Source organism: Homo sapiens, chromosome 10 (assembly GCF_000001405.40).
Source record: "Homo sapiens chromosome 10, GRCh38.p14 Primary Assembly".
In the NCBI taxonomy this organism is placed as follows: Eukaryota; Metazoa; Chordata; class Mammalia; order Primates; family Hominidae; genus Homo; species Homo sapiens.
Window position 1 is genome coordinate 26731526 of NC_000010.11, and position 14190 is coordinate 26745715.

The following is a 14190-nucleotide window of genomic DNA, read 5'->3' on the forward strand; positions in this document are numbered from 1 at the left end:
AGGAGTGCCTGCAGGGTGAATTTAGGGGTAATTGCACATGTGGTTTTGTTAGGCACCACCAGATTTCCCTCTGTTGGGTCTGTACCAGTATGTGTTTCCACCAGCAGCTTTTCGGAACCTCTTTTCCCACAGCCTTACTAACTAAATGTGCCATTACACGCTTGAGTTTTTGCCAGTCCAGTAGAGGAGAATGTATTGCAGTGGAGTTTTAATTTACATCTCTCCTTTCTGAGTGAGGTGGAACATTTTTCAGATGCTTAAGGGCCATTTATTTATTTGTTTATTTATCGGAGTCTCACTCTGTCACCCAGGCTGGAGTGCAGTGGCACGATCTCGGCTCACTGCAACCTCCGCCTCCCAGGTTCAAGCAATTCTCCTGCCTCAGCCTCCCAAGTAGCTGGGATTACAGGCGTGAGCCACTGCGCCCAGCCCTTCCCAGTCTCGTTGAGACGTGGCTTGTAAGGATGTGATGCAAGGTGTGAACCTTCCCCAGAAAGAAGTGCATACGCACAGCACAGCCTGGCTGCAGCATCTGCTTCAAACAAAACAGTCAGCCGAGCTCCACTTTCTTTGACTTAATCATTCTTCATGCTCCACCCATTTCCGGAAAGATGTGAGGCATCCCTCTGATGCTGAGCGCAAGTCTGTGCACCTCTTTGCCTTCTTGTATGTTGTGCTATGTTGCGTCCAATTTGTGGCAGTTGTTTTCTGTTTTCCTGCTACAGATCTAGGCAGTACTGACCTGGGATGGGGAAGCAGGACTCTCTGGCATGGTCTTTATGCTACCCCAGGGAAATCTGGGATAGTTGAAATCTGAGCAGTAATGTCCCTTCGCCATGTGTCAGGCAGAAGCTGCCCACTAAATAAGCTCTGTTCAGCATGTGTGGGCACAGAGGGGACAGTGCAGACAGACTGCAGCTTTATGCTTACTTGGACACATTCCTTGACCTCTTGGAGGTTCTATTTTGTTGCCCAGCATAGAAGCAGCACTCCTGTGTTGAAGTGATGAAGAGAACAGTGTCTGGAGCCAGACCATGTGGATGAAATTCAGGTTCCAGCGTGTTGGAGCCATGTAATGCCTGGTACCGTCTGTGTCTCAGTTTCTCGAACTTCATAAGTGACTTAAGATGTGAGAACTCTCAGAACAGTGCCTAGCACATAGTGGACGCTCAGAAATTGTTAGCTTTTATCATCACCAACCACATAATCCATATTTGTGGGATATTGTGAGGTTTAACTCAAATCATACAAAGTGTTCATCATATGTGCTCCACACATTTTAATCCATTAAAATGTTCACTAACAGATTTTTAGGCCGGGCACGGTGGCTCACGCCTGTAATCCCAGCACTTTGGGAGGCTGAGGCAGGCGGATCACCTGAGGTCAGGAGTTCGAGACCAGCCTGAAACCCCGTCTCTACTAAAAATACAAAAATTAGCTGGGCGTGGTGGCATACGGAGGTTGAGGCAGGAGAATCGCTTGAACTTGGGAGGTGGAGATTACAGTGAGCCCAGATCGTGCCGCTGCACTCTAGCCTGGGTGACAGAGAGACTCCGTCTCCAAAAAAAGAAATAGATTTTTAGAAAATCTTTCACTTTTCAGGAAGAAAGCTTATAGTCTCTGTGGCTCTGTGTTGAGGAAACAGCATTAATCTCACTACAGGAGACTGCTTCACTATCAGTTATTTCTACGTGGAAATATCTTGATTCCCAGTATCATTCTGTCCTGAGCCCAGCACATCCCAGGCTGCCCAAATCTTGCCATGCTCTCCTTTGAGCCAAGCTGATCTTAGCTTCTCTCGAAAGTTTCTGAATTGTCCCCCATATGGTCTCCCAGACTCTTCAGTTGAAAAAAGGAGCCCTCCCTGACAGCCCAGGGGTCGGTGCCTGCTCATGGGAAGGTGGTTGCTGTTGAAAGCAGTTATGAGCTTACTGTTCACTCAACTCAGTGGCCACCTGACCCTTTATGGTGCATGCAATTTTACCATGTACTTATGGCCAAGCACTACATAGTCAACAGACCTCATTAAGTTGTCAAAAAGCATTCTCAGGCTGAGGACGTTAGGCAACCTGGCTTTAGTTGGCAGAGGTGCGTGGACACTGCCAAGGCTCCTATTTCTGGTTCCAGTGGATGAGGTGGAGGAGGATTATTTGTAATAATAGCAAACAGCCAGGTGCGGTGGCTCACACCTGATAATCTCAACGCTTTGGGAGGTGGAGGTGGGAGGATCACGAGCCCAGGAGTTTGAGGCCAGCCTAGACAACATGGTGAGACTCCATCTCTATGAAAAAATTAAAAATTAGCTGGGTGTGGTTGCGCGTGCCTGTAGTCCCAGCTACTCAGGAGACTGAGGCGGAAGGAACCCTTGAGCCCAGGAGTTCAAGGTTACAGTGAGCTATGATCGCACCACTGTACCCCAGCCTGGGCAACAGAGTGAGACCCTATTTCTAAAAAGAGATAATAATAGCAAACACACATTGAGTTCTAACCAGGTGCCAGGCAGTATACTGAGGGCTTAAATGCAGCATCATGTCTGTTTCTCACAGCAACCCTACAAGGTAAGTGCTTGTGATTTCTACATTGTACAGATGAGCAAGAGAGATTCAGTAACATGCCGAGGTCTTGTAGAGGGCACAAATGCAGCCCCACAGTCTCACAGCAGAGCCCGCAGCACTGCACCACACTGACGCCTGAGCAAAGTTCACTCCCTGACTGGAGAGCCACAGAGGCACGACCGAAGGTCAGGGGACAGGGTTTCCTAGCATCCGCGAGCCTTACAGAAAGGCAACTGTGCAGTGCTCCAGCTGGCTTTCTCATGGAGAGTCAACAGAGACATTTCCCCTCCAGTAGAACACAGACCGTCTCTCCCCTCCCCCTTGTTGGTTTTACCCAGGCTTTGTTTTCTGAAAATGTGGCTGGGCCTGCTTAACATGCTTAGCAGGGCACTGGGAAATGCACTTCAGTGGCCGGTGCCAGCTAGCTTTTTGGAGTTTTAAAAAGACTTTCAGAAGTCTTATTTCTCCCCCATTGAAAGGAGGGAAAAGGGTTTTTATACAGTTACTTCTTTTGAGAGAAATGTGGAAACAGTGGGACCAGTGAAGTTCCTTCCGATAATGAAAGAGCGATATCTGTGTCTGAAGCAGGAGGCTTGAGATGATTTTTATGGACACACCAAGAAATAACTGCATTCAGAAACAGGTGAAATTCCCAACGATGATGAAAAGAAAGGACTACAGATGGGAAAATTGTGTGTGATTACATTAGTATCTCTTCCTGAAATGAGGGATACATTGATAGAGATGATTAAAGCCAACAGTAATCGGGCTAGCTTGCCGAGTGCTAGAAGTCAGTATTTCACAGATGGGGGTCCGTTTCTTTTGCATGTCAAGAAGGTTTACTTAGCATGTTACCAGCAGAACTAGTCCAGTTGTAGCTCAGTTTTTCCTAAGCAGTGGGAAAGGCTGCTTATCCTGTCTGAAAGCAGGGGTTGGAGAAGGAGAATTTTCTTAGAATTTAACAACACAATCTGAGACTGAAATTCTTGACTGGAAATGCGGTTTTGTACATGCTTGGTGTCCCTCTGATGTCAGCATCTCCTGAGTGTGTATAATCTAGCCCCGCTGCCTCCTATTTTAAGGAATTCCTTCAGCCAGGGGTCAGCTGCTTTGTTGCTGCCTGGAAGCAGCTTATCTCAGAATGCTCTTTCTGTTTCAGGTCTCTGTTCTAGGATGTCCCGACCCAGTGGTGCATGAGATCGCCTATCAGTACGGAAAAAATGTAGGAATAGCTTTTCAGGTTAGTATGCTTTTTATTTGTAAGAATGGTGGCGTAGTGATACAGTCAGCATTCTCCCCTAGTGTGTAATCGTCAAAATAGTAAGAACGATGGCAGCAGTGTTGGCATGGCGGTGCTCCTTACATCCCATTTTTCCTTTTGCCAGCTAATAGATGATGTATTGGACTTCACCTCGTGTTCTGACCAGATGGGCAAACCAACATCAGCTGATCTGAAGCTCGGGTTAGCCACTGGTCCTGTCCTGTTTGCCTGTCAGCAGGTAGGTTTTACAAACTCCCTTTGACACATCACTGCATAGCCCCACAGAACTGATGTCCCGCGGCACAGCTGATGGGAAGATTGCATAAAGGAATAGATGGGAAGGCATTCAGATAAGAGATCACAGGTCTGCATTTGATCCTGGCTGAGTGAGATGTTGGGGCTGGTCATTTCACCTTGCTAAGACTGTTTCCTTATCTGTGAAATTGAGAAGATCACCTTTCTCCCAGGGTGGTTGTGAGGATTAGCTAAGATCCTATTTGAGATCTTTGTGTCTTGTGGTGTGCCATAGGCATTTGAGGTAGCATCGTGATTATTTCCATATATTTTGGCCACTGGCAAAGTGAACGGTTTCTAAGTCTTGATTATAGGACTGGACTTTGGTGGTCCTCAGAGCCCCTTAAAAGGCATAGGAAGCATCAAGGGCCTCCAAGCATAAGAAATTCTCCGGTTCTAGAAGTTTAATGAGACTCTGCTGCTCTGAGAGAGGCTTTAGAACCTCGGCCATTGCCTCAAAATGTCAGGAAGTCAGTGGAGTGCAGTAGACCCACATAGTTCCTTCTTTCTCCGGATTGAGGGACTGAGTCCCCCTTAATGTGAATGAAAGGCTTAGGAAGCTTCAAAGATGTTCCCTCGACTGACAAAGCAGACATTCTCACAGCCTCCTCCAGACCCTGCCACATGGCTTGTGGCTGTACTGAATGTTACTTGAAATAAGTGAGACATTAGCTGGTGTTGGAACATCTCGTTAATAGATTTTCATCTTAGTAGTATTTAATTTGTTATGTTGCAAAGCAGTAAGATGTTCATCACCGTGCCATGAAATTCAACATTAGCTCTTTGGTGTAAAATTATAGTAACTTTTGGTCTTTCAGAGATTTTGCCTCTATTCTGTCTTCACGTTTACAAAGGTCAGTCATGTCCTCCATAAAATTCAGTGATTCCACTGTGATACAGAAACCACGGCCCTTGCTTTTGGTGGGTTTCTGATTGGAGAGAGGAAAGGTCATCTTTCACCCACTATCTAGCATAGCCATTGGCAGCATGATTCTTCCCAGGGGAGGCTGACGTTCTGGGTGGCTGGACCAGGCTACTTTGGCAGCTTGCTAAGGCTATGAATGGAGATGTTGGGGTACTCGGTAGGAACACCCACCCTCATTATTACAAGGCTTCCATCCTCTCAAACTTTGGAGGCTGAGGTAAGAAGTGAAAGGTATGCTGTAAATAGGTCCTCTCTCCCAATGAGGCTTACTTGCCAGCCCAAAATCAAAGAGTATAATACATGTGCCCAGTTTTGACAAAAATTTATAAAACCTCCTTTTGTACATTAAGGCAAGAGTGAGGAACATTTGAGCCATGTAGGTGTTATGCTGGGGATTAGAAAAATGAGGCACTGGCTACCAGTAACCTATATAACTGCGAACATTACTTCTCAGATACTTGTTAGTAAACATGAGTGAAGGAAAGCAAGATGGACTGAGTGTGCTGAAATCCAGCTAGCTTGGTAAAGATTCCTTTACCTAGGCTCAGATTATCAGGATAAAAGGAAAAAGCCTTTTTCCCTGGAGAAGTCTATGAGAAAGTTTTGGTTGCTCTATTTGTAAAAATCTTCAAATTGTTAAGTACTTGTTATGAACCCCAGGATACTAAGTTACCGGTTGAGTCCTACTTAAACCTTAAGGTGACTGGGTGAGAGGAGGCTGGCCTCTTCGGACTGTGTTTCACTCTGAATATATTTCAGAAGAAACTAACTTACTTTCCCCTACACACACAAAGGAGTAATGGCTATCTCTGCTTTCATATATAGTGGGGGAAAGGGGAAATGGACCTCTGCATAGTATCTGTCAGTAATCTACAAGAGACTGAAAAATGCTGGTTAGGCGGTGGCTCATGCCTGTAATCCCAGCACTTTGGGAGGCTGAGGCAGTTGGATTATGAGGTCAGGAGTTCAAGACCAGCCTGACCAATATGGTGGAAACCCCGTCTCTACTAAAAATACAAAAATTAGCCGGGCCTGGTGGTGCATGCCTGTAATCCCAGCTACTCGGGAGGCCAAGGAAGGAGAATCCTTGAACCTGGGAGGCAGAGGTTGCAGTGAGCCGAGACTGCACTCCAGCCTGGGTGACAGAGTGAGACTCCGTCTCAAAAAAAAAAAAAAAAAAAAAAAAAAAAAGGCTGGTTAAAAAAAGCAAGCAAAAGGAAAAAAAAAGATTACTGTACCCGAAGCCATGGTTTTATGTGTGCTTTGCTGGGAAATCCCAGTCATGAGGCACCTACTCATGCTCACCAGACAGCAGTGTTCTCATCTGCCCATAAGGCAGTGAGTTGAAAAGGCACATTGCAGCCTCAGAAAAGGGAACACAGAATGGAGTCCAAGCAGGAAGTGACTCTGGACAGGACTCATTTCAAAAGTAGACTGATGTTTCTGTCTTGTGGCACATGGGCCAGAAGTTAGCCAAGTATGTATTTATAAGTTGCCTTCTAATAAAACAGCAAGGTTAGGCTCTTTTGTGGAATACACTGTAAAACAAGAGATTCTTAGCAAGAAATGTGTCAAAAGATATATGGGACTAAGATTAATTCAGGTAAAAACAAGTTCCAAAAATAACGTAAGAATATGCAATATCTCCACTTAATGAAAATGTGTTTTTAGTTTACAAAGGATTCTTTCATACATTATCTCTAATCTCACAACTCCTCTTTGTGGTAGATATTATGGTGTTTATTCTGCAAGTAAGAAACTGATGCCCAAACCTCGCCAAAATTAAACATCTGGTAAATGGCACAGCAGGGAACTGAACAAGTCTAAGACCAGTATTCATTTTATTACATCATACATAGTGTTATTGCCACTGGTAATGCTGAGAAGTTAGTAGCTATGATACCACACAGGCCTTCCCACAGAGCAGGTAACTAACCCACCTGGGCACTGACGATACTCAAAGAATCATCTCTGTGTCATGTCTTTGCTATTGTAAACAACATACCTACTTGGTGGAGTAGTTCTAAGACGTCTGTAATCCTTTCCCTTTGGTAGGTGAGTTTTGTTTGCTGATGAGATGGTCTTTGAACTTTTCCATTTGTGAACACTGGACCAGGACAAGCATTCTTGGGAAACCACCTTTTCCTTTTTAATTTGGTGTGGTGGGTTGTCTTGGAGTTTACTCCAGCCAGCACTTGACAGAAACTCCCTGTCTTTTGGAATTCCTTTATTTTTAACATCTCTCTTAAGGGGTTTCCTGATAACAGTTGGTTCAGAGGATTTAAAAAGAGTTTTGGGGATTTCTGGAGAAGTCCCAGGGGATGACAGCGTCCTCCCATGTACGTATGTGTACATATTCTCTTTAAGAATAAAAACCTCATGTTAATTGGATTTTGAAAGCTTCAGAAACAAAATGGAAGTGTTTTACTTTCTCTGGTGAAACTTTTTTAATTTTCAAATATCTTTTTTAAAAAAACCAAATCTTTCCTTTCTTCTGCTTCTCTTCCTTATTTGATAAGTCACTAGACCCAAACGTCAGTTGTAGCCACGTTTCCAAATGCCATCACCAGCCCCTGCACCAGCTGCACAGGCCTTATGCTATCGTGGTGACTAGTTGGTGCCTTAGTGTTACCCAGTTTCGTTTGGGTAGACTCATACTCATCACCTTAGCAGTTTAGTTTATGGATGGGTTTCACAGAGTTACAACCCGATTTATCCACAGGTGGTTTTCCTACTCTTAAAAACAGCACCTGAGCAAACAGAATTTTTATTTGTCACTAAATCTGCAGGCAACTGTTCTTCCTGCTGTGTTTCTCTTTTCTTTTCCACATACACATTAAGGGGACTGGGGAGTGCCCGGGGAAGAGTTTGATATTTTGCATATTAAAATTGCACACATGACATGTTTGGAAGGAAGGATGTAGTCACTCAATGCAAATATTTTTTTCAAATTTTGCTTTCTCAATGCTTTTTATAGTAAAAGCATCAGTGAAAACACCCAATCAGCATATCTTACCACACTTGCTGGTACTGTAGAAAAAGCTTATACATCATAAACAAGGTAATGTCACCAGATGCCTACGAGAGAATCACATCAGTGTCAACGATAAAACCTTCTAGATATCCAGTATTGGTATGTGGTATTAAAAAACTAAAACAGGCTGTGTGTAGTGGCTCACGTCCATAATCCCAGCACTCTGGGAGGCCCAGGCGAGAGGATCACTTGAGGCCAGGAGTTTGACACCAGCCTAGGCAACAAGGCAAGACCCCATCTCTATAAAAAATTTAAAAATTGGCCAGGCACGGTGGCTCACGCCTGTAATCCCACTTTGGGAGGCACTTTGGGAGGCCGAGGTGGGCAGATCACGAGGTTAGGAGATCAAGACCATCCTGGCTACGGTAAAACTCCATCTCTACTAAAAATACAAAAAATTAGCTGGGCGTGGTGGCTTGCGCCTGTAGTCCCAAGTACTCGGGAGGCTGAGGCAGAGGAATCATTTGAACCCGGGAGGCGGAGGTTGCAGTCAGCCAAGATCGTGCCACTGCACTCCAGCCTGGATGACAGAGCGAAACTCCATCTCAAAAAAAAAAAAAAAAAATTAAAAAATTAGCCAGGTGCGTGCCTGTAGTCCCAGCTACTCGGGAGGCTGAGGCAGAGGATCACTTGAACCTATAGGAGTTTGAGGCTGCAGTGAGCTACGATTGCACCACTGCACTCCAGCCTGGGCAACAGAACAAGTCTCATAACAAAACTAAAACCTACTTGATTTGGCTTTTTTACCGTAGAAGTTGATTTGGGCTTTCCTGATTTCTAGTAGCTTGTTTTCTTCTTAAAAGACCCAGTAACTAAAGGAAATTACTGGTTTTCATAAGAACTAACCAGTTGCTGGCTCTATAAATTCTGTAAACACATTAGCAGTCTCCACATGTTTAGAGCTTTGTTCTGACACATATTTTGGTCTGAAAAAATTATTTCTTTGTCTGTGATCACTTGGCTGCGGCTTTTCTATGTATGCCCTATTTTTTCTTCTAGGATTACTAATACCATGGTCATGGTTACAGGACAACTTATTTCATCCTTCAGGTTCACTGCCAGGGAAAAACTGGCAGCTGCTGTAAGCACTGACGTGGCCAAAATCAAACACATCTTACCTCTTCCGTGGAGCCATAGACTGTTAGAGCTCAAGGGCTTCCAGTCATGAAGATGAGAAGCCTAAGACCCCAGGGGCTAAGGAAGTCACTCGGCTGTGGCAGCTGGTAGCCAAACCAAGACTAGAGTTCGGATCTAGGAAGTGAAGTGATTTGGTGTCCTGGCTTTTGTATTCTGTTAATGGTGACACTTCTAAATAGTTGCTAAGTATTGTAGAATATCGATTTTACCTTCAGTTCCTTTTTTACCTATTTTTTCTCTCTCTTCTTGCTATCATCTTAATTCAGGTCTTTTTTATAACCTACTCTAGTAACCTGTTTGTTCTGTCTACCTCTGACTCTTAATTCCATGGTTCTCAACCTTGGCGGCACATTAAAAATACCAGGGTGGGCGGGAGGAGGTTGAAAATCTTGGTGCCCAGGCTAAACCCCAAGCCAGTATAACCAAAGTCTCTGGGAACAGGATCTAGGCAACTGTATTTATACCTCCCCAGGCCAGGCGCGGTGGCTCACACCTGTAATCCCAGCACTTGGGGAGGCTGAGGTGGACAGATCACCTGAGGTCAGGAGTTTGAGACCAGCCTGGCCAATATGGCAAAACCCTGTCTCTACTAACAGTACAAAATTAGCCGGGTGTGGTGGCGCACACCTGTAGTCCCAGCTACTCAGGAGGCTGAGGCAGAGAATTGCTTGAACCCGGGAGGCAGAGGTTGTGGTGAGCCGAGGTCGTGCCACTGCACCACTCCAGCCTGTGTGATGGAGCAAGACTCCATCACAGGAGGGGGGGAAAAACAACAAAAAAACAAAAAACACTCCCCAGCTGATCCCAGTATGCAGTCAATGTCATGCACCGCTGCTCAGATCCACTCTACACACTGCTTAAGGCAGAGCTCTGCACATAATGCCCTCTGCTCAGAAACCTCAGTAGCTTTCAGTTGGTAATCAATTTAGAACTTAGAGTAGAATGCCTAATTCCCATCCTCATCCTAGGCCAGTGACTCTCAAAATGTTGGCAGAGACCAGAGATACTGGTGTCACCTGTTAGATGGTGGCATCTGTTAGAAATGCATGCCAAGGCTCCATCCCTACTCAATCAGAAACTGGGGGAGAGGCCCCACAAGCAGTACAGGTGATCCTGATACGATTTAAAGTTTAACAACCATGTTGTTTTTTATTTTTTATTTGAGACGGAGTTTCACTCGTTGTCCAAGGTAGAGTGCAATGGCGCAATCTCGGCTCACTGCAACCTCCACCTCCCCAGGTTCAAGCAATTCTCTTGCCTCAGCCTCCCGAGTAGCTGGGATTACAGGCGTGCACCATCATGCCCGGCTAATTTTTTGTATTTTTAGTAGAAACGGAGTTTCACCATGTTGGCCAGGCTAGTCTCAAACTCCTGACCTCAGGTGATCCGCCCACCTCGGCCTCCCAGAGTGCTGGGATTACAGGCGTGTGCCACCACGCCTGGCCAGAACCATGTTGTTTTAAAGATGTACTTTATTCCTCCTGCCTCTCTTAACTCAGTGTTGGACTAGGATAAAACATCAGAATAAACAAGGACTAATGTCTTCTCCTCCCATACACCACCACAGTGCCTAGGCATAGACGGTGGATGTCTCTTAGCTCAGCTTTTGTTGCCACAGTTTACTGCTCCCCCACATCATCTAGACACTTAGTTTCATTTTTGTTGTTTCTTGTTATTTCCTATTGTTACAAACTAGTGTTAGAACACTTGTTTCTCCCAAGAGAAATAAATAGATTTTCTCAGATTTTCTCTCTTTTTTTGTTAGTTCCCAGAAATGAATGCTATGATCATGCGACGGTTCAGTTTGCCTGGAGATGTAGACAGAGCTCGACAGTATGTACTACAGGTAAGACTGTTTTTTTAAAAAAAAGGCAGCAGCAGGAACAACGTGGCAAAATCCTTTAATCCAAAAATGTAACATTAACTAAACATTAAATTATAGATACAAGACTGTTTGGTCAACTCTTGATGTGACAAAAACTGAGAAGGGAAAACTCATTTTTCTGATTTTTTATTTTCATTTCTCTTCTAGACTACTTACGAAATGTTTTGTTTTAACTGGTCTTAGGTAAGGCACAGACATTAATATCTTTTAAAAGGTACCTAAGTGATTGTGGTGAACTGTTAGTGTTGAAACCCAGTGGTGTGGAACCAGCCTTCCCTGTGTCCATCAACAGAATCACTGGGCCCCCAGTCACCCAGCCTCGGCTCCAGCCTCATCCATGTCCCCATCCATGACCCCATCCGGGCTGCTGCTGGACTGCTGCAATAGTCTACTCATAATTGGGCTTTCCTAGTCCATCCTACCTGTTATAAAAGTGTGACTAAAGAAATGATCATTGAAAACAATAAACCAACACAGGCAAACTATACATTTATATAAATGTTTTTCTTTTAAAGGGAGAACCATTTAACCCCATTCAGGGGCTAGTGGCTTGCTTTAAATATATTGCCACGTATCTTCAGAACTTTTCTGTGGAAGCCAGATCTCTCTGCATGACTTGAGTTTTGGTGACTGACTCCTGTGAGAATGAGCCATTTCCAAGTTCACTGTCATTTGCAGCCAACAGATCTACTGGATGAGTCGGAGTGAGCAAAAAATCATTACAAAGCAAGTGTGGCATGAGATCTGTACTTAGTGTAGTACCTGAAAGACTTCCAAATAATTACCTTCCAGATTCTTAAAAAATTTAAAAAGCAACCCCAACCCCTAAAAGGTTATTTTTCTCTCTTAACTGACTATACTGTTAAGCCCCATTATTCACTACGGGTTACTGCCTTTTTTGGAGAATGGTTTAAACGTACTATTAAAAACTATGGCAGGGAGCTGGAGCTGATAAAGAAGTCAATATTCCCTGGGAGAGGTTCTGGCTTCAGAAATAATGGTATTATTGAAAGCTAGAGTGGGAAGTGGAACTGAAAAGAGGGAAGTTAATAGTAGCACCTATGGAAAATAGCAAAGTTCCAGCAATCCTAGCCAGAAACACATTTAGAGGAAACAAAAATCCACGGGAATGTTCTCTGAACAAATTCTCCAAAATTCTAGCTCCCTGTTCACCCACAGAGCTTCTAGGCCTATTCCCTCATTAAATATGAATAGACAACTCAGGGTTACAAATAAGTTGACTAAAGCTTGCTGAACAAAAGAGTGGGACCAAAATAACAGGGGGAAAAAAAAACAGGAAAAACGTAAATAGGAGGATCCAAAAAGATACCACATTCACAAAACAGTACAGGATCATACTTTTTAAATGAGTAAGAGCAAGTTCTAAGAAACTGAAAATGACTGAAGAACAAACTCCAAAGAAGGGCTGCAATGTGAAATTGTGGAAATCCTCCCAAGTGTAAAACAGAAAGGGGGAAATAGTGAAAAATAACAAGAGCTACAAGGACCAGTACCATCATGTAACAAGTATTTCAGGAAGAAAATAAACAAAAAAGTGGTCACTTATGCTAGAAAATGGTGTCAAAACTGGCTCAATGAATAGCAAAGATACTGGATACTAGAAGGCAGTGGAGGAAGGTCTTCCAAGTGAGGATGAAACATTTTAAACCTAGGATCCATTAAATCCGAAGGCAAAAGAAAGTCACCACACATCAGGACTAAAATGTTGACTTCCCATAAACACTATTTTATTTTATTTTTATTTTATTATTTTATTTTATTGTATTTTTCTTAGACTGAGTCTTGCTCTGTTGCCAGGCTCAAGTTGCAGTGGCACAATCTTGGCTCACTGCAACCTCCGCCTCCCGGGTTCAAGTGATTCTCCTGCCTCAGCCTCCCGAGTAGCTGGGACTACAGGCACCCGCCACCACGCCCGGCTGATTTTTGTATTTTTAGTGGAGACGGGGTTTCACCATGTTGGCCATTATGGTCTCGATCTTGACGTCGTGATCCGCCCGCCTCGGCCTCCCAAAGTGCTGGGAATACAGGCGTGAGCCACCGCGCTCAGTCCCCATGAACACTTTCTGGGTAGGTTATTTGCAGATGTACTTCAGGAAAACGTGTGGAAAACACTGAGAGAAGGCAGGCTTCTGTACAAAAAGGAACAGCAAACTAAAATATGTCATGTTTTGAGCAACTGGTATAGAAAATCAGATGTATTTCAACCACAATGTTAGGAATATTCCATTTCTAAATGTCAGAGGGGTCCGGGCGCAGTGGCTCACACCTGTAATCGCAGCATTTTGGGAGGCCAAGGTGGGTGGATCACTTGAGGTCAGGAGTTTGAGACCAGCCTGGCCAACATGGTGAAACCCCGTCTCTACTAAAAATACAAACATTAGCCAGGCGTGGTAGTGCACGCCTATAATCCTAGCTACTTAGGAGGCTGAGGCACGAGAATCCCTTGAGCCTGGGAGGCAGAGGTTGCAGTGAGCCAAGATCACGCCACTGCATTCCAGCCTGGGCGACAGAGCAAGATTCCATCTCAAAAAAAATTTAAAAAAAATAAATAAATGTCAGAGGGATCATGAGCCATGGAGAAGGAAATAGAATTATAGTATATGACTTGATTCTGCAATAAATATTTTTACATCATAGAAATGATACTTTATTAGTATTTGGCTTTTAGAAAGAACCAATATTTTAAAACATGGTTATAGAATAGGATGTAAATATCTATAGTCTAACAAACAGTATAGTTAAAGGAAAGGACAAGAGCTCATAGAAGATAAAATCTGAAGTTGATGCTACCTAACAGAAGTAATCAACAAAACAACTAAAGACAGCAGTGTGATGATGAGGCGGCACATTGTGGGTGGGCTAAACCCTCATCTTAACAAAAAGGTAACAGGTAATAACTAAAATTGGTAATCAAGAAATAAAAACTAGGCTGGGCACGGTGGCTCACACCTGTAATCCCAGCACTTTGGGAGGCCAAGGCAGGCAGATCACTTGAGGCCAGGAGTTCGAGACCAGCCTGGCCAACATGACAAAACCCCATCTCTACTAAAAATACAAAAATTAGCCGGGCATGGTGGC

General features: G+C 44.1%; 1 protein-coding gene across 7 annotated transcripts in view; it reads left to right on the top strand.

Annotated features, from left to right (window-relative positions):
• The window catches only part of PDSS1 (decaprenyl diphosphate synthase subunit 1), a 49098-nt gene that overhangs the window by 33825 nt on the left and 1083 nt on the right, over positions 1-14190 (top strand). For 4 of the 7 annotated variants that reach the window (NM_001321979.2, NM_014317.5, XM_017016011.3 and 1 more), the window contains 3 exons: positions 3715-3795; positions 3941-4054; positions 10972-11052. In NM_001321979.2, coding sequence (NP_001308908.1) covers positions 3715-3795; positions 3941-4054; positions 10972-11052 — 276 coding nt within the window. Of the gene's footprint in view, positions 1-3714; positions 3796-3940; positions 4055-9119; positions 9739-10971; positions 11053-14190 lie in introns of those variants that run through there. The other 3 variants (XM_024447922.2, NM_001321978.2, XM_047424933.1) reach the window with 3 other exon arrangements.